Here is a 24,787-nt window from a genome sequence, read left to right as displayed (position 1 = left end):
AAAATAGCCTACTTTCATGAGCAATATGAATGTATGAATTTAAATATTCCATTATTTCACAAATTCATTAAAAAAATTTTTTTGGAGGCCCATGAACAGCCAAGGGTGAGGTATTAGGTTGGTGCAAAAGTAATTGAGATGTTTGCCATTAAAAGTAATTGCAAAAACCACAATAACTTTTGTACCAGTGTAATAGTTTGGCTGTAGTAGGATGAATGTTTACATTTTAATAACATAGTGATACAACTTGGTCTCTAAAGTGTCATCCTACAGTGTTTCTGTTTTGCCACATGTTTTCACCATTTAGACCAGTTGGGGAAACCCAAACTCCGAAGAGATGAGTGAGCACTATTGGGAAATGTACTCATCTTTCTGGAAGGAGCTTCTTGTGAATATTCTCAAGTTATGATAAGATAAAAAAAGTAAAATAGTAAATTTCATGCGCGTCCCTGTGAAGAGACCACCAAACAGGCTTTGTGTGAGCAACATGGCTGTTTATTTCACCTGGGTGCAGGCGGGCTGAGTCTGAAAAGAGAGTCAGCTAAGGGAGTTAAGGGTGGGGCCGTTTTATAGGATTTGGGTAGGTAAAGGAAAATTACAGTCAAAGGGGGTTTGTTCTCTGGCGGGCAGGAGTGGGGGTCGCAAGGTGCTCAGTGGGGGAGCTTTTTGAGCCAGGATGAGCCAGGAAAAGGACTTTCACAAGGTAATGTCATCACTTAAGGCAGGGACCGGCCATTTACACTTCTTTTGTGGTGGAATGTCATCAGTTAAGGCGGGGCAGGGCACATTCACTTCTTTTGTGATTCTTCAGTTACTTCAGGCCATCTGGGCATATACGTGCAAGTCACAGGGGATGCGATGGCTTGGCTTGGGCTCAGAGGCCTGACATTCCTGCCTTCTTATATTAATAAGAAAAATAAAACAAAATGGTGTTGAAGTGTTGGGGCGGCGAAAATTTTTGGGGGGTGGTATGGAGAGAGAATGGCGATGTTTCTCAGGGCTGCTTTAAGCGGGATTAGGGGCGGCGTGGGAACCTAGAGTGGGAGACATTAAGCTGAAGGGAGGTCTCGTGGTAAGGGGTGACATTGTGGGGATGTTAGAAGAAACATTTGTCGTATAGAATGATTGGTGATGGCCTGGATACGGTTTTGGATGAATTGAGAAACTAAATGGAATAACAGAAGGAGAAAAACAGGTATAAAAGGTCTAAGAATTGGGATGACTCAGGATATCTGATTAGAGAGTGCCTAAGGAGATTCAGCATAGTCCTGCCAGCAAAGATTATTTATTTACTTCAAGAGTTAAGAGTGGCAGTTTGGGGATAGCACCAGGAGATATCAGCTGTGATGGCTTGGAAAAACAGTGTAAACCGGCAGTGTAAACAAGAGCAGGGCATGTATGAGTAGTTGAGAACGGTAAATAGGAGTATGACTAGATGGAAGATAGTAGGGATGACAAGTTTTTTTGGGGGTACAGTCTAAGTTGGTCTGGTGTCTGGAATGAGACTAGGGCCTAATAAAAAGGAGCATCTCTACAGGAGCTCAAATGGGCTGTACCCTGTAGCATTCCGAGGATAAGCCTGAATTCTGAGAAGGGAAAGTGGTAAAAGTATTGTCCAGTCCTTTTTAAGTTGGTGGCTGAGCTTGGTGAGGTGTGTTTTTAAAAGACCTTTAGTCCATTCTACTTTTCTTGAAGATGGAGGACCGTAAGGGATATAAATGTTTCACTGAATACTAAGAGCCTGAAAAACTGCTTGGCTGATTTGACTAATAAAGGCTTGTCTGTTATCAGACTGTATTGAGGTGGGAAGGCTAAACTGAGGAATTATGTCTGACAGAAGGGAAGAAATGACTGCGGTGGCCTTCTCAGACCCTGTAGGAAAGGCCTCTAATTATCCAGTGAAAGTATCTACCTAGACTAAGAGGTATTTTAGTTATCTGACTCAGGGCATGTTGAGTAAAGCTAATTTGCCAGTCCTGGGTGGGGCAAATCCTCGAGCTTGATGTGTAGGGAAGGGAGGGGGCCTGAATAATCCCTGAGGAGTAGTAGAATAGCAGATGGAACACTGAGAAGTTATTTCCTTGAGGATAGATTTCCATGATGGAAAGGAAATGAGAGGTTCCAAGAGGCAGGCTACTGGCTTGTACTATAGCATAACCTGCCTTTGCTGGTGGGTGGCAATTAGGCCTGGTGGAACCGCCATCAATAAATCAAGCGTGATCAGGGTGAGGAACAGGAAAGAAGGAAATTTGGAGAAATGGGGTGAATGTCAGGTGGATCAGAGAGATACAATCATGGGGGTCAGGTGTGGTATCAGGAACAATGTGGGAGGCCGGAATGAAGTCTGGGCCAGGAAAAACGGTAATTGTGGGAGACTCAACAAAGAGTGAGTATAGCTGAAGGAGCCGGGAAGCAGAAAGTATATGCGTCAGGTATGAGGAAGAAAATAGATTTTGGAAGTTATGAGAACTGTAGAGAGTGAGTTGAGCATAGTTTGTGATTTTGAGGGCCTCTAAAAGTATTAAGGCAGTGGCAGCCGCTGCACGCAGACATGAGGGCTAGGCTAAAACAGTAAGATCAAGTTGTTTGGACAGAAAGGCTACAGGGTGTGGTCCTGGCTCTCGTGTAAGAATTCTGACCACGCTAACCATGCCTAGGAAGGAAAGGAGTTGTTGTTTTGTAGAAGGTGCTGGGGTTTGAGAGATCAGTCGGACACGATTGGCAGGGAGAGCATGTGTGTTTTTATGAGAATTATGCCGAGATAGGTAACAGATGAGGAAGAAATTTGGGCTTGATTGAAGTAATGGGGGCTGTCTGTGAAGCTTTGCAGTAGTACAGCCTAGGTAATTTGCTGAGCTTGATGGGTGTCAGGGTCAGTCCAAGTGAAAGTGAAGAGAGGCTGGGACTAAGGGTGCAAAGGAATAGTAAAGAAAGCATGTTTGAGATCTAGAACAGAATAATGGGTTGTAGAGGCAGGTATTGAGGATAGGAGAGTATATGGGTTTGGCACCACGGGGTGTATAGGCAAAACAATTTGGTTGATAAGGAGCAGATCCTGAACTAACTTGTAAGGCTTGTCTGGTTTTAGGACAGGTAAAATGGGGGAATTGTAAGGAGAGTTTATAGGCTTTAAAAGGCCATGCTGTAGCAGGCGAGTGATAACAGGCTTTAATCTTTTTAAAGCGTGTTGCGGGATGGGATATTGGCATTGAGTGGGGTAAGGGTGATTAGGTTTTAACGAGATGGTAAGGGGTGCATGATCGGTTGCCAAGGAGGGAGTAGAGGTATCTTATACTTGTGGGTTAAGGTGGAGGGATACAAGAGGAGGACGCAAAGGAGGCTTTGGATTGGGAAGAAGGGCGGCAATGAGATGTAGCTGTAGTCCAGGAATAGTCAGGGAAGCAGATAATTTAGTTAAAGTGTCTCAGCCTAATAAGGGAACTGGGCAGGTGGGGATAACTGAAAGGAGTGCTTAAAAGAGTATTGTCTAAGTTGGCACCAGAGTTGGGGAGTTTTAAGAGGTTTAGAAGCCTGGCTGTCAATACCCACAACAGTTATGGAGGCAAGGGAAACAGGCCCTTGAAAAGAAGGTAACGTGGAGTGGGTAGCCTCCGTATTGATTAAGAAGGGGATGGGCTTACCTTCCACTGTGAGAGTTACCGGAAGCTCAGCGTTTGTGATGGTCTGGGGGCTTCTGAGGCGATCGGGCAGTGTCAGTCTTCAGCCGCTAAGCCGAGAAGATCTGGGAAGGAGTCAGTCAGAGAGCCTTGGGCCAGAGTTCCAGGGTCTCTGGGAGTGGCTGCCAGGTGAGTTGAACAATCTGATTTTCAGTGGGGTCCCACACAGATGGGACATGGCTTAGGAGGAATCCTGGGCTGCGGCCATTCCTTGGCCCAGTGGCCAGATTTCCGGCACGTGTAGCAAGCTCCTGTGGGAGGAGGTTCTGGAGGAATGCCTGGCCGCTGCGGTTCAGGCCTTTGGAAGTTCTTGTGTGCTGGAGATGTGGCTGGGGTTTGTCTCACAGTGGAGGCAAGGAATTGCAACTTTTTTATATTATTGTACACCTTGAAGGCAAGGTTAATTAAATCCTTTTGTGGGGTTTGAGCGCCGGAATTTAATTTTTGGAGTTTTATTTAATGTCGGGAGCAGATTGGGTAATAAAATGTATTTTGAGAATAAGACGGCCTTTTGACCTTTTAGGGTCTAGGGCTGTAAAGTGTCTCAGGGTTGCTGCCAAACGAGTCATGAACTGGGCTGGATTTTTATATTTGATGAAAAAGAGCCTAAACGCCATCTGATTTGGGATAAAGAAAAAGGAACATTAACCTTGACTATGCCTTTGGCTCCAGCCACCTTTTTAAGAGTAAATTGCTGGGCAGGTGGGGGAGGGCTAGTCACAGAACAAAACTGTAAGCCCGACCAGGTATGAGGAGGGGAGGTGATAAAAAGATTATAGGGTGGAGGGCGGAGGCTGAGGAAGAATTGGGACCTAGCTCGGCCTGGCGAGGAGGGGAGAGGTCAGATGGGTCTGTAGAAAAGGAAGATTACAAAGACTCAGTGACACTTGGCGTTGGGACTGAGGGGACAGGTGGGAGGGAAAGTAGGAAGATTTGGGATGAGTTGCACTGGGTACAGAGACTAGGAAGGGACTGATGTGTAAAAGAATGCCTGGACGTCAGGCACCTCAGACCGTTTGCCTGTTTTATGACAAGAATTATTTAGATCTTGCAGGATGGAAAAATTCAAAGTGCCACTTTCTGGCTATTTGGAACTACTGTCGAGTTTGTATTGGGGTCAAGCGGCATTGCAGAAGAAAATAAGGCATTTAGGTTTTAGGTCAGGTGTGACTTGAAGAGGTTTTAAGTTTTTGAGAACACAGGCCAAGGGAGTAGAAGGAGGAATGGAGGGTGGAAGGTTGCCTATAGTAAAGGAAGCAAGCCTAGAGAAAAGAGAGAGTAGAGAAACGGAGGGAAGGGGTTCAGGGGTTCTTACCTTCCAGAAAAGTGGGAAAAGGGGTTGGGGCACAGAGATAAGAGGTTGGGGTGCAGAAATAAGGGATGGGGTGCAGAAATAAGGGGTCAGGGCATGGAAATAAGGGGTCGGGGCATGGAAATAAGGGATTGGGGCACAGAGATACGAGGTTGGGGTGTGGAAATAAGGGATTGGGGTTCTTGCCCCCTAGAAAAGCGGGACTTGCCGCTAAGGGTGAAAGAGAAGGGGTTGAGGGGTACTTGCCCCTGCCCCAGAAAAGTGGGACTTGCCGCTAAGGGTGAAAGAGAAGGGGTTGAGGGGTACTTGACCCTTCCCCAGGAAAGCAGAGAAGGGGTAGAGACAAGGAGAGAAGGGGTTGGGGTACTTGCCCCTTCCCCAGAAAAGCGGGACTTGCCGCTAAGGGTGAAGGACCAAGGCAGGCGTCCCTGCGTGGTCTGACACCTTTGAAACGTGGGTGAATAATCAGAGAGGCATCCCTGCAATGATTGAACACCAAGGGAAGGCTGCCTTCCCAGTCCGTGACCGGCGCCAGAGTTTTGGGTCCACAGATAAAACGTGTCTCCTTTGTCTCTCCCAGAAAATGAAAGGAATTGAAATTAAGAGAAGGGAGAGATTGAAGAGTGGAAAGAAGAAAGTGGTTGAGGGACAGAGAGAGGTTGGAGAAGAGAGTAAGAAGAGGCCGCTTACCTGATTTAAAATTGGTGAGATGTTCCTTGGGCTGGTGGGTCTGAGGACCTGAGGTCGTAGGTGGATCTTTCTTATGGAGCAAAGAACAGGAGGATGGGATTGATCTCCCAAGGGAGGTCCCCTGATCCGAGTCACGGCACCAAATTTCCTGCGCGTCCTTGTGAAGAGACCACCAAACAGGCTTTGTGTGAGCAACATGGCTGTTTATTTCACCTGGGTGCAGGCGGGCTGAGTCTGAAAAGAGAGTCAGCTAAGGGAGATAAGGGTGGGGCCGTTTTATAGGATTTGGGTAGGTAAAGGGAAATTATAGTCAAAGGGGGTTTGTTCTCTGGCGGGCAGGAGTGGGGGTCGCAAGGTGCTCAGTGGGGGTGCTTTTTGTGCCAGGATGAGCCAGGAAAAGGACTTCCAGAAGGTAATGTCATCACTTAAGTCAGGGACCAGCCATTTACACTTCTTTTGTGGTGGAATGTCATCAGTTAAGGCGGGGCAGGGCACATTCACTTCTTTTGTGATTCTTCAGTTACTTCAGGCCATCTGGGCATATACGTGCAAGTCACAGGGGATACGATGGCTTAGCTTGGGCTCTGAGGCCTGACAGTAAATACTTAAATATTTGACATTTTAAGAGAAAATTATTTGTTGGTGAAATATCTTTGCATAGTTAAATGCAGATAATTAAATGATTAAATTAGGCTGTATTTGGTAGCTGAAGAATAGATTTATTATATAATATCAGCTAGCATTTGAACAACCCTGTGTTATGTGAACCAACTTCAACACATGGCAATGAGGTGAGGGAATCCTACGCACTGTTTTGGCATATCAACTTGCCCTGTATACTTCTCCTATCACAGGGTGCATCAGCTCTACTTCTAGAATGTTGATATCCTTCCTTCCTTCCTTCCTTCCTTCCTTCCTTCCTTCTTTCCTTTGTTCTTTCCTTCGTTCCCTTCTTTCCTTCTTTCCTTCTCTCTTTCTCTCTCTTGAATACTGCTTATGACCAAACTTCAAAGGATGTAGTTATTACATGTGTAACATTTGACAACATCTGTGTTTTCCAGTTGGGACAATCTATGAAATTGCTAATACCCCCTGATTCCTGGCTGGCATATTCAACTGCAAAATAGAAACAACCTTTCCTGCTTCATTTTGGTAGTTTCTTTTCTGGTCACAAGTTGAGACAGGAAGTGCTGGAGCCCATGGAAAATTGAGAAAAAATCCAGACAAAACAAACAATGATGCTTTTGAATTTTAGAAACTTTGCAAATATTTAGTTTATGTCAAGTTTTGGTTACTGAGAAGACTGTTCATATGGACCCAACTTTCTTAAAAATAAGACAAAAATTGGAAGCCATCAATATCTTTAACTTATATTTAATCTTAGATCAATTAAAATATCAATTATTGGTACATAATGTTCATATGAGGAATTTTGCTTGAAAATTCAAGATAATAGTTTAAACGTGCACCAAATAGTTTGTAGAAATAACCAGTTTAAAATGTAAGAACAAGTAATGATAATGGTACCTAAACATTTGGGTATTTATAACCTTTCTTCTTAAGTTCATCTGCTTCTTTTTTTGTTTTATTTGGTTTTGTTTTAATCTGGCATTACATTGTAGACATTCAGAAGAAAAAGATTAATATATTTCTTCCAGTTTCCCCCTTCTGCCTAATAGTCTCAATTGAACTGATCCCTTGCTTCATTGTCAGAAGATGATTCTTGGTCCCTGTATTTATTATAAAAGCTCAACAGTAAAATGGAAAACTTTAGACATAATTGCAGAAGCTACCAGAAATATTAGTGGATATTCAGTTTCACATGTCACATTTATTTTCAACTTGGGTCATTTCTTAAATACAATATGAATAACACAGATGAGTTTTCTATTCTCTTTAGGAATAAAAGTTTTCCCTTTGAAGCTTTACTATAGCTTGTCTGATCTGGAAAATTATCTGTCTATATCTAAGGCTAAGACATTGCCTAGTTCAAATTAGCTTTAAAACACTACACAAAACAGTATGACAGAGTGGCCTGAAGCAGAGGATAATTTTTCAGTTGAAAAATGGAACTAAGCAGCTTCCTAAGTGGAATCAGAGAGCGACAGAGAGGTCAAGGCAAGCACAAGTGCTCTTGAAACAAGGAGTGACCCTTTGAGGGTGGCTTGGGCACTTGTTGAGACTCCAGACACACTGCAAGCAGAAAACAACATTAGCCCAGACAGGATGTATGAGTCAAGGATATCTAAAGAAGATGCAAAACGTAGCATCCAGGCATTTGCAACTTTCCAATTGCCGGGCTCCACTTGCGGTCCGCGCTGCTGGTTGGAGCATACTGTAAAGGAAATATAAACAGTTTAAATTAAGTACCAGAGCTAAATCTCTCACATGACTTTCTGAAAAGATGAGGAATGAAATTATCAGCACAATTAGAAGTCTTGAGTCTGCTGGGTCAGGGGACAGGAGAGGAATTCTTGGCACAAAAGAACAGGAAGCACAGCAACTCGGCCATATATGGAGGAGGGGTGAGCCTTTCAAGCAAAATTACTATGACCTCAAAGCTTCTGCTACTCAGACAGCTGTATTGAATTCTGTTCAATGCCAAAGTAGTACCTTAAGCCAGTTTATCTGGTTTGGCTTTGAAGTGGCAATAAAAACCAGGAGCCTCCTGACCTGGGTCATTTCTAAAAGGAGTTGTTTTCTTTCAGCTTTTCCAATTTTAAGAGCAGTTACACTTACAGGTGTGTGTGTGAAAGAGTGTGGTAAAGGGAACATTTGCTAACACGGAAAATGTGAAAGAAGTCTAGGAATCTTCCAAATGTATTGTAGATTTGGACTTTAAGCAATCTCAATATGAACAGTGAATACAATGAAATAAAGCAAACATAATTTGCAATCAGATGCAATAGACAAACATGTTTAGACCAACCTCGCTGATTTTATTCTTTAGTGACTTGTTGCATCCAAATGGACTTCTTGGATTGGAAACTCCATTCACATGGAAAGAGAGTAAACAGCGCATGCAAAGTCCCATTTTGCAAGCAGAAGTCTTTCAATGTTTTGGCAAGTAACTTTGCTATTTGGATGCATTCTACTCCAGCTAGTCCTTCTGGGAAACCTAAGGCATCATTCTTACCTACTGTTGAAAAGAAGGAAAGGCACCATTTCTGAGATGGTCCAAAATCGACTTTGCAAAGAGTTATTCAACAGTAGTAGTTTTTGGAAAATGTAATAGCCATCATTTGTCCTTGTAGGGAACAATGTTCCACTCCATATATTTTATAGGTTTTTTTTCAGCTCATTTTATTGCTGCTAAAAGTATACTGGCCAGTCCATTATGCATTATAGTGGGCAAAATAATAGGTGACAATAACATCAGGTTAGTTTCTAGGATTTTTTAAAATTAGCTTTATGAAAATATAACAAAGTAAGAGGTTAAATTAATTAGCTAAAATAAATTCTTTGTATTTAACTGAGAAATTCAATGTCTAAGGAGTTCCAGAGCATTCTTCCATATGGTCCACTTTACCTGGACAAGAAGATCCTATGCAGATGCAAACCAGACTGTCTTATCACTAATCCCATTTCTTTAAGACCCTTTATAAAAATAATGTACGCTTGCGGCTTAAAGTCAAATTCCTTTAACTGAAGACAAGCTTGGATTGGGAGCATTTCCTGTGCCCTGCCAGTTGGTGTAGTATGTTTTATTGGATAGCAGAACTCTGTAATGCATTTCAACTCACTCGATAAAGTCTATCCTGTTCTCTAAGAGAAGAGTCCATTGTTTTTGGTTATTTGCCTTCCTAATCATAAACAATGTAAAATTGGTTATAATTTATTGCTGTAAAGTTTGCATTACCCTCTTGAGCAATTGCTAATGTTCCCCTTTTTCCACTTCTTCCTCATCCTCATATTAATAGACAATATAAGCAACTTCCTACAAAAATACTTTCAGGATTTCTTCTAATACATTTATTTCCCATAAAAATTACACCAAAAGCACATTAAAATAATCAGCACAGCTGACTGATTTTCATTAGGCTGCTTCTAGATTATTTTAGGTTTTGACGATGAAAATCATTTACTCTCTTTGTGGCTTTAAGCACAGGTCTGCCTAATGACAGACAGATGCTGGGACTTGGATGCCGACTTTCTCTGTATATGCAGAGAATCTCTGCTGACCTAGAAATGAGGTAGTTGTTGCCTATATACTCTGTGGCAGACTCCTGGAGAAGTCATTCAATAGGAAACTTAAAAAAAGAAAAAAAAACCTTTACCCAGAAGATATTTACTACAATAAGATTCAAATTACCAAAGATTTTATCTTCTGGACTATTATTTTTTGAACCTCATTTTGATTCTGCACCTCAATATCATTGAGCAGAGAGGAGTTTTTTTTTCCCCCCATGTAAGCACTAGATTTATTTTTGAAACAAATTAGAATTCATTGCAGAAGGGAGTACTGTGGGAGTTTGGAGTGTAGTATTTTGGCAAGAAGCACATGAGAAACTTTCACCCTGGGTATTTCTGGTCCCACTGGAGAGGAATACCAGGAATGCGGTGCCTCAATCTGTTCTCACAAGACTTGTGGCTTGAAATTCACACACCCACAAGGTTTAGATAAGAGTCTACCCTGAGCTTGGTCCTTGTGGATGCTTCTCTAAGGCTTAAGAAGCATTTCCACCTTTCGATGGGTCTCCATCCCCATCTAGGCTGATATTTGTGCAGTGCAATAGTTGTTTTCTCATTAAGAAGAGGAAACAATGAGAGTGATGGAGGAAAAGTCAATGAAAAGCATGCCCTGCTTTGCGTTAAAAAAAATTTCTGGTAAAAATGTCAGTATACAACACATAAAAATTTCATTGACCTGATTCTACTCTTTCCTACTTTTGTTCCCACCCTACCAATAATCCTGTTTTGGAAGAAGGCTGCTTTACATAAACTCTAAATCTTATTTTCTTATGAGTGTTTTCTCGTGAGTCTTCTCACTCCTTTCTTTTGCTTCATTGATTTTGTAGAAAGGCTGCTTCAGAAATCAGCCACCTGCTCAGATTGCCTAGATGATAAAATTAAGCTCTCAACTGGTGTGAGCAGAAGTTTCAATAAAAAAATTCAATTCAGAATTCTACTCAAAGGTATATTGAGTTTAGACCATGGGATATGCTTTAGCTTCAGAACTAATTGCTTCTCAGGGAATCAATTATGTTAGGTTGATCAAATGTGACTGTAGGGGGACATGTATGTTTATTGACCAAGAGTTATATGGCAGGCACAATACTAGCTGCCAAAATAATGGGAATGGCTCACATTTATATTGTGATTACAGTGTACGGTCATGTTCTAAGCACATTGATCCTTACTACAAATCAGAGAAAATGTTGCTGTTGCTTTTTCTATTTTGTAGATGAGGAAACAGAGAGGGGTTAAAACATCTTTACCAGGACACACAGCTGTATGTAGCAGGACTGGGGTTTATACCTAGCATTTTGGCTCCAGAATTTATGCTCTTAATCACTCTACTGTGGTGTGTTTGTGTGTGTGTATGTGTGTTCGTGGGTGTGTATGTATTTTGCAAACAGTTTTATGAATCATTGTTTGAAAGAGGATATTTATTTTTGCCCCTGTTCAGTTATTTTCTGTTACCAACTGTATTACAGTCAGTACAGACTGTTTTGGTGTGCAACACATTACATCAAATCTTACTGGTTTGAAAAAAATGAATATTTCTGATCAGATCATTTCTCTGAGTTAAGAATCAGAGCACACCTACCTCGCTGGGTTTTCTGCCTCAAAGTTTCTTATAGTGCTGCAGTTTAAGTGTTGGCAGGAGCTTCAGTCTTATCTGAAGACGTAACTGGGAGAGGATCCTTCCAAACTCATTCTTGGTGGTTGTCAGGCTTCAGTTCCTCACAGGCTGTTGTTCTGAGGGCCTCAGTCTCTTGCTGGCTGCTGGCCAGGGTCCTCCTTCTGGTACTTGCCATGTGGGCTCCCCGTAGGCAGCTCACAACATGTCAGCTGGCATAAAGTATGATTTATTACAGCAGATATAAAATGTTTGTGTAGAATAAACCTGTTTTACTAAAATAGGTTAATTCTGTGGTGTTTATTCATTTGAACATAATTTGTATATTTTAAAGGCCCATGCAGTCATCTGTTTGGTAAAGGTGTTAGAAGGTAGTGTTTACTAGCAACATGCATGTTTAGAAAGTCTTTTCTTAGTCTTCAAGTAGCAGAGTCTACACTGTAGACCACACAACAGGTGTGAAATCAGCCTTTGTTAACTAACTGAATTTCTCAATCAAAACAAATCAATTCCACTGTATTTTAGATTATAAGTGAGTTATAGTCGGTAAGGATAAAGATTATTTCTTTATTTGTTTACATTTATATATATATAGGTTAAATACATAATTAAAAGGAAATATTTAAAGTTCTGACTCTTTCAAGTATTCAAGCATTGCTAATGTGCTTTAACCTTATTCATCCTGCACTCTAGATACATTTTTTTTTAAAAAAAAATGTTTTTTGTGTGTGTGTGATCACAGCATAGCCATTTATAAAAATAAGTTTCCAACTTTCCAGAGAACACAGGTGACAAGTGTTATTTGATGTATAAAGTAAGAGTATCATCAAGATGTTTACCTTCTTTCATTTATTGAGAATTTCTATGGATGAAGATTTATGCTCAGCTCTGTGGAGGATTCAAAAATAAATCCAGTCTCTGCCTCGTGGAAAGATTTAGAGCATTGAAATCAGAGAAACACAAAGTAATGTACTATAATTTCTCTGGGCTTCAGTTTTCTCATCTGTGTAACAAAACAACATTAATACTAATTTAATGTTTTATAAAACACTTAAGCTACATAATATATGTGATGTTTCTTGAACGTAATGAAGGTTTAATAAACACAACTGCTCACCTTGCATCTCTATGGCCATGTCTACTTGTCACTATAGGAGCTAGTAGGGGAGAGAGGACAATGGCTCAGATAATTGAAGCACAAGGTAGAGAGTGGCAAATGCCATATGAAAAGTAGATAAATTAGGAGTTTAGAAAATGAAGATATGTTTTTTTGGAATTGTTTCAAGATGATGGACTGAGCATATTACACAGACTCTGGCTCCCCCAATAGACCTTTAGAAAATATGGAAAATATATTGTTTGTGGAAAGTTAAGTTAAAAATGAGTTTAAAATAATTTGGATTGTTGTAAAGGATAGATTTTTTTTTCTGTATCTTTTGTAAGTTTGAGTTTCTGCCTATCCTGTGGGAAGGAGTCTTCATATTGATGGTCACTCTAATTCTGTCTTGGATGACTTAATAAAGTTTTCCTCCTAGCTCCAAAACAAGGTATAAGGACTGTAAATATTTATTGCAAAAATGAGAAAAATAAAAATAACACAGTAAATGCCAAACAAGTAAAACAAATATATAATTTTGCGTCTAGATAATTTATAAACTCCATATAATTAGAAATAAAAATATTGACCTCTGAATAGACAACCCATGGATTGGGAGAAAATATTTGCAAAGCATACGTCTGATAAGGGCTAATATCAAAAATATATCAGGAATTCAAACAACTGAATAGCAAGGAAACAAAACCCAATCAAAAAATGTGCAAAGAAACTAAATAGATACATTTCAAAAGAGGATATACAAATGGTCATCAGATACAAGACACTATGCTTTTCATCGCTGGTCATCAGGAAAATGCAAATGAAAACCATAATGAAATATTATCACACACCTGTTAGAATGGGTATTACCAAAAAACAAGAGATGTTAAGTGTTGGCGAGGAGGTGGAGAAAAGGAAACCTTTGTACATTATTGGTAGGAAAGTAAATTAATATAGTTATGATGAAAACCGTTATGGAGGTTCCTTAGAAAATAGAACTATCATATGTTCCAGTAATCCCCTTTCTGGGTATATGACCAAGGGAATTGAAATCAGTATGCTGAGGAGATATTTGCACTCCCATGTTTATTGCAGCATTATTCACAATAGCCAAGACATGGAAGCAACCTCTCCATCATCAGATGAATGAGTAAAGTTTGGTATACATACCTAATGAAGTATTACTCAGCCTTGTAAAAGGGGGAAATCATGTCATTTACAACAGCATGGATGAACCTGGAGGACATTATGCTAAGTGAAAAAAGCTGGCACACAAAGACAAATACAGTATGACCCCATTTATATGTAGAATTGAAAAAAAAGTTGAACTCCTGGAAGTAGAGGGTAGAGGTCTTACGAGAGACTTGGGGAGGGGAAGGTGATGGAGATAGGAGAGATGTTGATCAAAAGGTACAGTTTCCAGAAGAGAGGAGGAAAAATCTTTAGGGATCTATTACACAGAATACTGACTATAAAAATTATAATGCATTGTATTTTTTAAAAATTTATCTTTGAAGTATAACCCACAATCTTCTGTCATTTTCAATTTTATAACAAATATAAGCATATGTGCAGTATGAGAAATAAATTTGAATTACAGCTTAAATCCATGTCCTGAGAATATACGACAAAATATAAAAGACTCTTTGCCGATTTTTTGTGTCCAATTCCTGTGCATTGCTGCAATATGAGTAGAGAGCTGAAAGAGTGTCTTTTTTGTCCTTGAAATAGATGTGGACAGCTTTCATATTTAAGTCTCTTTTCTCTATAGCTATCCTGTCTTAGGAATAGAAAAGCTGATTGTTCAAGCTGATTGTCAATAGTAAAGGCTGACTGAATATATAATATTGTGCTTATGGTTCCTTCCATGCATTGATGGTGGTACGATGACTATCTTTTGTACTGTTGTTGAGAGAGCATCAACAATGAGGTGTAATTTGAAACTTAGAAGCACTGCTGTTTATATATCTGAAACTTATGAAAGATGGACGGATACTTAGGTGATCACAGTGATGATGATGATGATGATGATGATGATGATGACGACAATAATAACCATTTTGAACACTTGCTATATCTGCTGGGCAGTTTTCCAATTGCTTTAGATGCAATTTAATCTCCACATTACCTTACATAGTAGTTTCTGTTATTGTTTCTCATTTCACAGATGAGGAAACTGAGTCAACAAAAATTTTAGGATTTGTCTTTAACTCATAGATTTGGTAAGTAGCATACCTAAGAGTTGGTTTCCATAGCCTAATCTTGGACATGTAGTAAACTCTAGACCTCTATACTATACAGCCTCTCACGTAAGGGTTCTAGGTATTAGATTATGTGAGGAATTGATCTCACTAAAATTTCTCTTGGGCTTGGATCTGTATTTCTCATATTTATTTTTCTTACTAATACTAAATATTCCTTCGATGTAGTATATTTTTACATACTAGACTAGGGAAATAGCAAGGTACCATTTTGATTTGTCAGTGTGGGTGATCATGCATCAAAACTATAATTTACCTCTCCCTAACATTTACAACTTTCATCCAACTGGGGAAGGGGAGAACGCAAACTAATAGCAGCAACTTCTCAACCTTGAAACAAGACATGGAATGCTCTGCTTTTGTGAGATCTAGGTGATATTGAAATTTGTCTTTCCATTTGAGCCCAGCTCAAGTATTCTTTATGAATTTGTAATATGCAGTCAAAAGGTGCCTTCCTGAGCCTACTTGGAAAACAGTGTTTATGGCTGGCTCTCTTTATATATAACCTCCTCTTCATACTTGCATATCTGTGGAAGATCTCTCTCTCTCTCTCTCTCTTACTCTGGGTTTAGTCTTTTCTAGTAGAAGAGTTATGCCTCTAAATACTTAGAAATGTATTTTGTACTATTGTTCTATGTTCAGAATTCTTTATTTGAGATATGCTACATGTCAAAATTAAAGGCAACTACAAGTATATCAGTATTTATATTACCTACAAATGAAATAAAACTCCAAGATAAATTTTGTCAAACTGGATTTTAAAAATAAAGCCCAACTATATGCTACCCACATATATACATATATTCCAATTATATACCTAAAATTGAGAGTAAAAAGATGGAAATATATACCATAAGAATGTTTAAAAAGATAGATGCTATAGCTATGCTAATGCCAGACTCATTAGAGTTTAATGTAAGAAGTATTAATGGACATAAAGGGTGCCACTTCATAAAGTCAAAATGATCAATTCCAAAGGAAGTTATGACAATCTTAAACCAGTTTGCCTCAAGTAAAATTATTCAAAAGGAGAAATAAAACTATTGTTATTGCAGATGACATGATTATATGCATAGAAAATCCAAAGTCATCTACATATAACCTATTAGACTAAATAAATGAATCAAGCAAAGGTCAGTGGATGTACTGTAAACACATAAGAATCAATTTTATGTGTGTGTGTGTGTGTGTGTGTGTATGCCATGAACAAAGAGAAATTATTGAAAAATAGCATTATAAGACCATAAAAAATGCTGAACAGCTAAGGACATAACTACAAAAATTGTGCATGACTTCTATATAGAAAAGTATGAACAATTACTGAAAAAAAAAAACTAAGGAAGACACAAATAAATGGAGCTATATAACATGTTCATGGCCTGGAAAACACAATATTTAAATCTGTCAGTTCTTCTCAAATTGATCTATGGCTTCAAAACAATTCCAATGTGTATGTGTGTGTGCGTGTGTGTGTGTGTGAAAATCAACAGGCTGATTCTAAAATTTACATGTTAATGAAAGGAATTCATTATTTTTCAGACCTTGAAAATCTTGAATCTCAAAGCTTTACTCAAAGTTTTAGGGCTTATAATATTATATTTTTCAAATCTTTCCTCACCCCACAGCTTTATTGAGGTAATCCACATACAAAACGGTATATATTTAAGGTGTATAACATGACTTGATATACATATACAGTGTGAAATGATTACCAAAATCAAGCTAGTTAACACATCCATCATCTTTCATAGTAATGTAAGGTGATCTTTTTTTTGTATGTATTTGTTGAGAACCCTTAAGATTTACTTTCAGCAAATTTCAAGTATACAATATGGTATAATTAATGATCGTTACCATGCTATATATATTAGATCTCCAGAACTTATTCACCTTATAACTGAATGTTTGTCTCTTTGACCAATATCTCCCGTTTCCTTCTTTCAATTCTCTTCTCCCTGCTCCCAGCCCCTGGCAACTACCATTCAGTCTCTGCTTCCGAGTTCAACTTTTCAGATTCCACGTATAAGTGAGATTATATAGTATTTGTCTTTCTGTGTCTAGCTTATTTTTCTTTGCATAATTTCCTCCAGATTCATCCATGACATCTGAAATTCCAGAATTTTCTTCTTTTTATGGCTGAACAATGTTCCATTGTAATTGGTATCTTATCTTTATAGACAGAGAGATGTATAGATATCACATTTTCTTTATCAATTTGTCTTAGTCCATTTAGTGTTGCTGTAAAGGAATACATGAAGCTGAATAGTTTATAAAGAAAAGCAGTTTATTTGGTTCATGATTCTTCTTGCTGGAAGGTTCAAGATAGGAAATGTGGTGAAGGCCTTGGGCTGCTTCTACTCATGATGGAAGGCAAAATGGAGCCAGCGTGTGCAGAGATCACCTGGTGTGAGAGGAAGCAAGAGAGAGATGGGTAGATGCCAGGCTTTTAAAAAAATAACCAGCTGTCATGGGAACTAATAGAACAAGAACTCCTTCATCCTCAAAAGAAGTCGTTAATATATTCATGAGGAATCTGCCCCCATGATCCAAATACCTCCTATTAGGTCTCGCCCCCAACACAATGGCACTGGGGATCACATTTCACCATGAGATTTGGTGGAGAAAAACAAACAAGCCATATATAAACAATAACACTATTCATTTGTTATGGAAACTGGCTTCTTTCATATCCTGGCCATTGTGAATAATGCTATAATAAACATGGGAATGCAGCTCTCCCATTTCTTTTGGGTGTATACCTAGAAGTGATATTCCTGGATAATATGGTAGTTCCAGTTTTAAATTTTTGAGGCATCCAAATTCTGTGTTCCGTAATATTTGTACCAATTTAATTTCCCACTATCAGTGTCCTAAGGTTCGCTTTCCTCTATCCCATCACTAACACTTATCTTTTTTTATAATAGCCATCTTAACAGGCATGAATTAATATCTCATTGTGGTTTTAATTTCTATTTCTATTATGATCAGTGATAATGAATATATTTTCCTACAGCTGTTGTCCAATTTATTGTCTCTTGAAAAATGTCTCTTCAGATCCTTTGCCCATTTTTAAAATTGGGTGATTCAGGGTGTTTTTTTTTTTTTTTTTTTTTGGCGCTGAGTTGTAGGGATATTTTTATATATATTTCAGATATTAGCCTGTTATCAGATACAAGGTTTGCAAATATCTTCCGTATCATAGGTTAGGATTTTGTTGACTGTTTCCTGTGGTGTGCATAAGCTTTTTAGCTTGATTTAATCCTACTTGTCTATTTTTGCCTTTATTACTTATGCTTTGTTTCATAGCCAAAAAATCATTGCCAAGGTCAATGTCAAGGAGCTTTTTCCTGTATTTTCTTTTAAGAGTTTTATAGTTTCAGGTCTTGTATTCTGTACTTTCTGCATTAAATATTCTACTTATTAACTTTGAATTTTAAAGGTTCAAGATAAATATTTCAACCTCATTGAGATAATAACATGTAAGATTTAGAAAACTGTATTTAAATTGGTTGCCCTGAGCACATAAGTAATGTCTTAACTTGGCAGTTATATCTTAGCAACCAAATTTTAGTTTGACACATTATTCTTGAAAATGTACTGGAAAAGGAACTGAAGCTATCTTAGCCCTTAATGAGTTAAGGTATAAAAATGAAGACAAATATTAATAAATCTCACTGTTAATTAGTTTATGATAATTTTTATAAGTGCTATATAGGACCCATACATAATTCTAAGAGGAAGTATAACAAAAATATGTAAAGCAGTACCATGGCTGACACATAGTATCCTCTCAACAAATGTTTACTAGTTTTTCATTATCTGGGTCTTGAGTTAATTCTCCCAGACAATAGAGTTGTAAATATTCAGTCATTTTTCCTTGCTTCTATCTTATCTTAATAACCTGGCAAAATCTATTTGCTGTCATAACAGTCAATGTTATTAGAAGACCTAGACTATTGAGTTAGAAAGGCTTTCTTGGAGAACTGATTTTTTAGTGAAATTTGAAGAATTAAAAAAAAGATTTATAATTAGTTGCTCTTATTTAGGGAAGGAGGTTTTATTTAAAGGGGAAAAGCAAAGAATCTGTGACAGAAAGGGGCATATCTACTCAGAGTGAGAAGAGAAATAGGTGGCAACTTTTAGACTCTGCTAATGATTTTTAGAATAGAATAAGAAAAATGAATTAGAAAAGAAAACAGAATAAGAAAATGAGAATAAGACAAATGAGAAGCTATTGAAAGGTTTTAAGCCAAGCTTGTCCAACCTGTAGCCCATAGGCCAATGTGGCACAGGATGGCTTTGAATGTGGCCCAACACAAATTTGTAAATTCTCTTAAAACTTTATGAGATTTTTTTGTGGTTTTTAAAAAGCTCATTAGCTATTATCAGTGTTAGTATATTTCATGTGCGGCCCAAGACAATTCTTCTTCCAACGCAGCCCAGGGAAGCCAAAAGATGGGACACCCCTGTGTCCAAGAATTAAAGATAAGAATTAAAGAGAATTAAAATAATTAAAGAATTAAAAAGATAAGATTTTACACTTTAAAAAATCTTCTGGTTCAAGGCCAGAGAAAAATTTGGAGGGAGACAGAAGTAGAGCAAGGAACTAGTAACAAGGTAAGAGTTTGAGGTATTTTGTCACAAGGTAGTTAAAACATTTGGAGTGAGATTTCATAATCAGCCCTGTTATCTGTTAGTTGTGTGATTGTTTATCTTTCCTCACCCTGTTTTCCAATATATATCCTCCAATATACATCCTCGGGACAGCCATTATAACCCCCTGATGATGTTGGTATAAGTATTCAGAAAAATAATCTATATAAAGCACTTACTTCCACAGTGCCTGGCAAGTGTTGGAGATCATTAATGTCATGTCAGTGGAGATGGAGAAAGTGGGCTGCATTTAGACAAAATCAAGAGGATTTTGCAATTGATTGGCTTTACAATATGGAAGGAGAAGTCAAGGGTGGCTCCCAGGTTTTAGGTTTAGTAAGCTGGGAGAGAGAGGGGACAAAGAAGGCCTAAAATTGGAGGAAAGATGGTAAAGGCACTTTCGTTTATTTTGATCTTCAGATGCCTTCATGTCCTCCATGTGCGGATGTCTACTAGGCAGTATATGAACTCATCTATAAGGGCCGTGGTTGGAGTTAAAAACTCTAGATTGCCTGCTTATAGAGTATGGAGTGAGAAGAGAGGAGTGAATCCTCTGCCTTCTCCCGCCCATCATTACTTGCCACTTATACATGATTCATTGTGCTGTAAGCACAGCTTTATTACAAATAATCAGGATTATTAGATTAGTACAAAAGAATTTGATTTCATCTCTATTCTAAAGAGTTCTAATTAGATAAAATTGATGGTTTTCCTTGTCACTATATACACCTAAAATTTTCTCAAGAAGTAAAAACAAACAAAACGTATAATTAAGTAATGTCATAAAAGAAATTTTAAAAATTAATCAAGGATTACCTCCAAAAATGCCAGAAGAAAGTTTCTTCTCCTTTTGAATACAAATAATTCATTTTTTAAGCAAATATATGTGTATATATATATTTTTTTTCCACCAGAGTCTGTTGGGAATGTTTTCTTATGTGCCTACTTTGAAAAACTAACTTGTATCTTGCAAAGCCAAAAATGAGCATTCTCAATGGCCCAGCAGTTCCACTCCTAGGTATATCCATAGAGAAACTCTTATAGGTGTGGACCTGGAAGCATATACAAAATTCTTTAACACAGTTTATAAAGGCCCCAAACTGAGCAAAACTTGAATATCTATACACAAGAGATAGAATTATTATTATTATTATTATTACTACTATTATTATAGTGTTACATCAGCAAAAGTAAATCTCAAAGACAATGTAGGGTGATTAAAACAAGCTGCAGAGGGATATATTTGGTATAATACCAGTATTATAATATAATAATATAATATAATATATAAATTAATAATATATAAATTCCCCATATATCCAAAACTTTTAAAAATATATTGTTTAGGCCGGGTGCAGTGGCTAACACCTGTAATACCAACACTTTGGGAGTCCAAGGCAGGCAGATCACAATGTCAGGAGATCGAGACTATCCTGGCTAACATGGTGAAACCATGTGTCTACTAAAAATACAAAAAATTAGCCAGGCATGGTGACGGGCACCTGTAGTCCCAGCTACTCGGGAGGCTGAGGCAGGAGAATGGCATGAACCCGGGAGGTGGAGCTTGCAGTGAACCGAGATTGTGCCACTGCACTCCAGCCTGGCCAACAGAGCGAGGCCTCAAAAAAAAAAAAAAAAAAAAAAAATATATATATATATATATATATTTATATATAGTTTATAGGTACATATATTTAGCAAGAAAATAACAAAATGCAAAAACTTATCAACAAAAAAATTCATAGTCATGGTTACCATTTTACAGGGGGAAAAGATCTGTAATTATTGAAGGGCCCAAAAAAATTTACAGGCTTTGGAAATGTTCAATTTCTGAAGTTGATGGTTGGTTCAAAAGTGTCTGTTTTATTATTATTACTCCTTATGTAAATTATAAAATAGGTTCTTAGTTTATCTCTTGAAATTCTATAAATATTGCCTCAATATAGAGGCAATGGAATATCGTAGCTATTTTTCAACTGAGGAACATGCTTTGAGAAGATAAGTAACTGGTTCAGGGATTATCATCGAATGGCAGAGTGTTATAACTCAAAGATCACAATATATCTACTATATACAGTGCCTATTTTTCTTCTGAAATTAGAATGAATGTAGACATATAAATATTTAGGATTTCTAAAATTAAGATAACTAAAAATCAAAGAAAATTTTAAACATATTTCCAAGGGGGTTTAGGACTAAAATGGGACTCAGAGGTCATTTGGTCAATGGAAGCACAAGAGAAGCCATGTATCTTCCCCAAGGACAAATAGCCAAGGACACATGGTTCACTTGTGGCACAAAAAGGACTGAAAACAAAATCTCAAGACTCCTGGTCTAGGACTCATTAATTTACAACAATAGACTGTGTGTGCTTTAATAATATTCTCTTCATTTTCTTTTTCTTATTTCATGGTTTTGTCTTCCCAAGGGGAGTGGGAAATTTGAAAAATGTAAAGAGTATTGAATAATTTTTTTTTTCTTCAGAGATCTCTAAAACAAAGTGAAATTTACAGATGAACTTGATCACACTAACAGGCTTTAAATATCCTGTTTATCCCAGGTTTTAATACAATGGGTCTTTCATAATTTTTAAGAGGTATGTGGAAATCGTAAAGAGTTATTGCCAGCCTGTTACGGAGGAATGTTTTTTCTTAGACAGATAAGAATCAGGTTAGTATTTGCGGTGCCAGAAATGAGATAAAATTTCACTTCAGAACTTGAGCTGTGTTGATCTACCTATTCTCATTTTATGTAGCCATTTATAGCAGTCAGGGTCAGCAAACCGATCTGTTGCAATTACTTTTCTGCCATCTTAAAAACGTGATCACTCCTAAGTGGTGCACATGACATTCAACAGCACCACCAAATGAACTGGCCACACTAATGGCAACACAAATGTACCTGCTTGGCAAAATGCTGTATATTTTTCAAGGGAAATAAGGCAATTATAAGCCTTCTTTTATAAAGTCAGCTATTTTCAGTAAATGGTATTTGACCTAAGGTGAAAGCCCTATATTTGATTGGAGTATGGAAACTCTTCATTTTTTCCCTTTGCCCTACTTACATTTATTTTTCATAGAGTTTATGGCAGAAATGTTGTAGTCCAAGCAGCAAAATAACACTTTCCTTTGGACCTCCTGATTTTCCTACCGTTAACTTTTATAATAACTATTGCAAGTTATGAAAAGTACCGTGTTTGTTTTTTGGCCAGCACTGACATTTATTTTGAGAAATTAAAGAAAGTGAATTCAGTTTATGTATATGCATAAACTTCAACTTCCTTTTTGTTAAAACTTTTTCAAAGAAGACATTTTTCTTAAGACAAACTTACCAACATCCTTCAAATTATGTAAGTTCAGTTTTTCCATATTCGAAGTGCAAAACTGGATTTGCAGATAAAAGTTTTCACAGTAAGTCGGTATTCTGTCTGTGTAATAAGATAGAAGTTCTTGGGTTGCATGCTATTCAACAATCTCACCAAACACATCTGAAACCTGAAACCTGGGGCAGGTATGAATTTCTGGAAGACTTTGGCAAAGATAGACCACACCTGTTCCAGCTTCCAGTAAAATAAATCACAGTTGTAGAAAGAATTGACCATTAGCAGTAAGAATATCCTTTAGTGCACTTTCTCCTTTTCAAAGTGAAAATCAAAACATCAGCTCCTTTCTGCATGTCTTCACTCATGCAAGTTCTTCTCTGTTTTTATGAATGCTATCTCTTAGATATGACACATAGTTATACTTATTCTACATCTCTTAATTGTCTTACCAGTGTCAACTAAAGATATTTAAATTATATCAGTAAGATTTAAAGTGTTTAAAGATGCTGAGACAAAATGCCTTGTAAATCTAAAGTACTATATAGCTATTTGGGATTAAGGCTCGACTAATATAAATCTCTCACTGAGGTTTTCAGTGTTCATGATGAAAAGTTGAAGAATAAAATGACAGAATGAGAAATATACAAGTATTTTTTGTTTTAGTACTGCCACCTCTTGTATCACAGTGATCACCAGTGGGGTTACATAGCTTGATTTCTATTTGACATTCTTTTATGAGAAGTGATGGTAGAGGCCACAGATAATTCATGAACAGAACAGTTAATTTACTCAAACATTTCTTAGGGTACAAAATTAAACAGCGTCATTCTCAAAATAAAACACATTATTCCAAGCAGCAATTTTGTTAAAAAAAAGAAGAAAAGAGAAAAAACAAAGACTAAGTACTAAATCTTTAGCATAAACTTAATTTGTCACAGCAACCTTTTAGGATCTATGCCTCAAATACATCAAAGTTAATAAAGGCATATTATAAAACAAAATTGCAAAGAAATCATGACTCGTTATATTCATGATTGAACATTTACATGATTACTATATAAATCATTTTTTTAATATATCTGCCATTATAGCTGTTACATTAAAATATCTATATAAGTAGAATTTTACTACATCACATGCCTAGGTAATAATTCACACAAAATGAATGTCAAATGCAAACACTGTCAATAAGAAATACCCAGATGATGAATGTAACATATTTAATTACAGATATCCCAATTACTCTGAATTAATCATTATACTTATATACAGGTATCAAAATATTACATGTACCCCCAAAATGTGTACAACTATTGTATATAAATAACAAATAAATTAAAAATGATTTTTAAAAAAGTCATCAGTACCTGTAGACAGTGATTAATAGGTGTAAGTGAAAGAAAATGTCTGGACAAGGTAGCCTAATTTTTTTAAAGCTTCTTCACTATACAATTTGTGTTTTCTCTTTACTAACACCCGTTCTGTTGAGTAGATTATTTTACTATGAAGGAAAGGTAATAGTCAACAATATCTGTTTTCTTTTTTTCAGTATTTCTTATTTCTTAATGATAATACACCAGTACAAACCTTACTACAAGGATTAAAACATTTTAGTTGAATTTTTTAAGCATCATGGTTGGTTGTGGAAACAGAGAAACTTCTTTAGGTGCCTTGCTTAAGGGAATGTCCTTGCTTGTCTCCCTTTAATTCCTTCTGCAAGTGCTCAGTCACAGAGACTTTATTGTTGGCACTATTTCCTTCTTTTAAAAGCATTTGGCTCATCCTCAAACATGTAGCTTTTTATATAGCATGTTTGAAAGGTCGAATGAAAGTCAGAATGTCAATATATTTATTGGCAAAATGACAACAACCTATTACCTTTGCCGAAGCACTTTCATTTTCTATTGGGAATTCAGTGTGATTGTGTTTGTCTTGCAATTTGTTTTATAAGAGCCATTTAAAGAAAAAAATAA

General features: G+C 37.3%; 3 annotated features.

Annotated features, from left to right (window-relative positions):
• Positions 508-1,033: an enhancer, noted in NCBI's record as "OCT4-NANOG-H3K27ac hESC enhancer chr4:157526591-157527116 (GRCh37/hg19 assembly coordinates)". NCBI's record gives its function as "activates a minimal SCP1, AML or CMV promoter by ChIP-STARR-seq in naive H9 embryonic stem cells {active_cell/tissue: H9 hESC(naive)}" and the evidence as "EXISTENCE:reporter gene assay evidence [ECO:0000049][PMID:30033119]".
• Positions 5,678-6,413: an enhancer, noted in NCBI's record as "NANOG-H3K27ac hESC enhancer chr4:157521211-157521946 (GRCh37/hg19 assembly coordinates)". NCBI's record gives its function as "activates a minimal SCP1, AML or CMV promoter by ChIP-STARR-seq in primed H9 embryonic stem cells {active_cell/tissue: H9 hESC(primed)}" and the evidence as "EXISTENCE:reporter gene assay evidence [ECO:0000049][PMID:30033119]".
• Positions 7,058-8,257: an enhancer, noted in NCBI's record as "BRD4-independent group 4 enhancer chr4:157519367-157520566 (GRCh37/hg19 assembly coordinates)". NCBI's record gives its function as "activates an origin of replication core promoter dependent on BRD2, P300/CBP, MED14 and CDK7 cofactors, and independent of BRD4, by STARR-seq in HCT116 cells {active_cell/tissue: HCT116}" and the evidence as "EXISTENCE:reporter gene assay evidence [ECO:0000049][PMID:35650434]".

The sequence above is a fragment of the Homo sapiens genome, chromosome 4 (assembly GCF_000001405.40).
Source record: "Homo sapiens chromosome 4, GRCh38.p14 Primary Assembly".
In the NCBI taxonomy this organism is placed as follows: Eukaryota; Metazoa; Chordata; class Mammalia; order Primates; family Hominidae; genus Homo; species Homo sapiens.
Note: the sequence above shows the minus strand (reverse complement) of the source record. Positions and strands in the feature narration are given on the sequence as shown.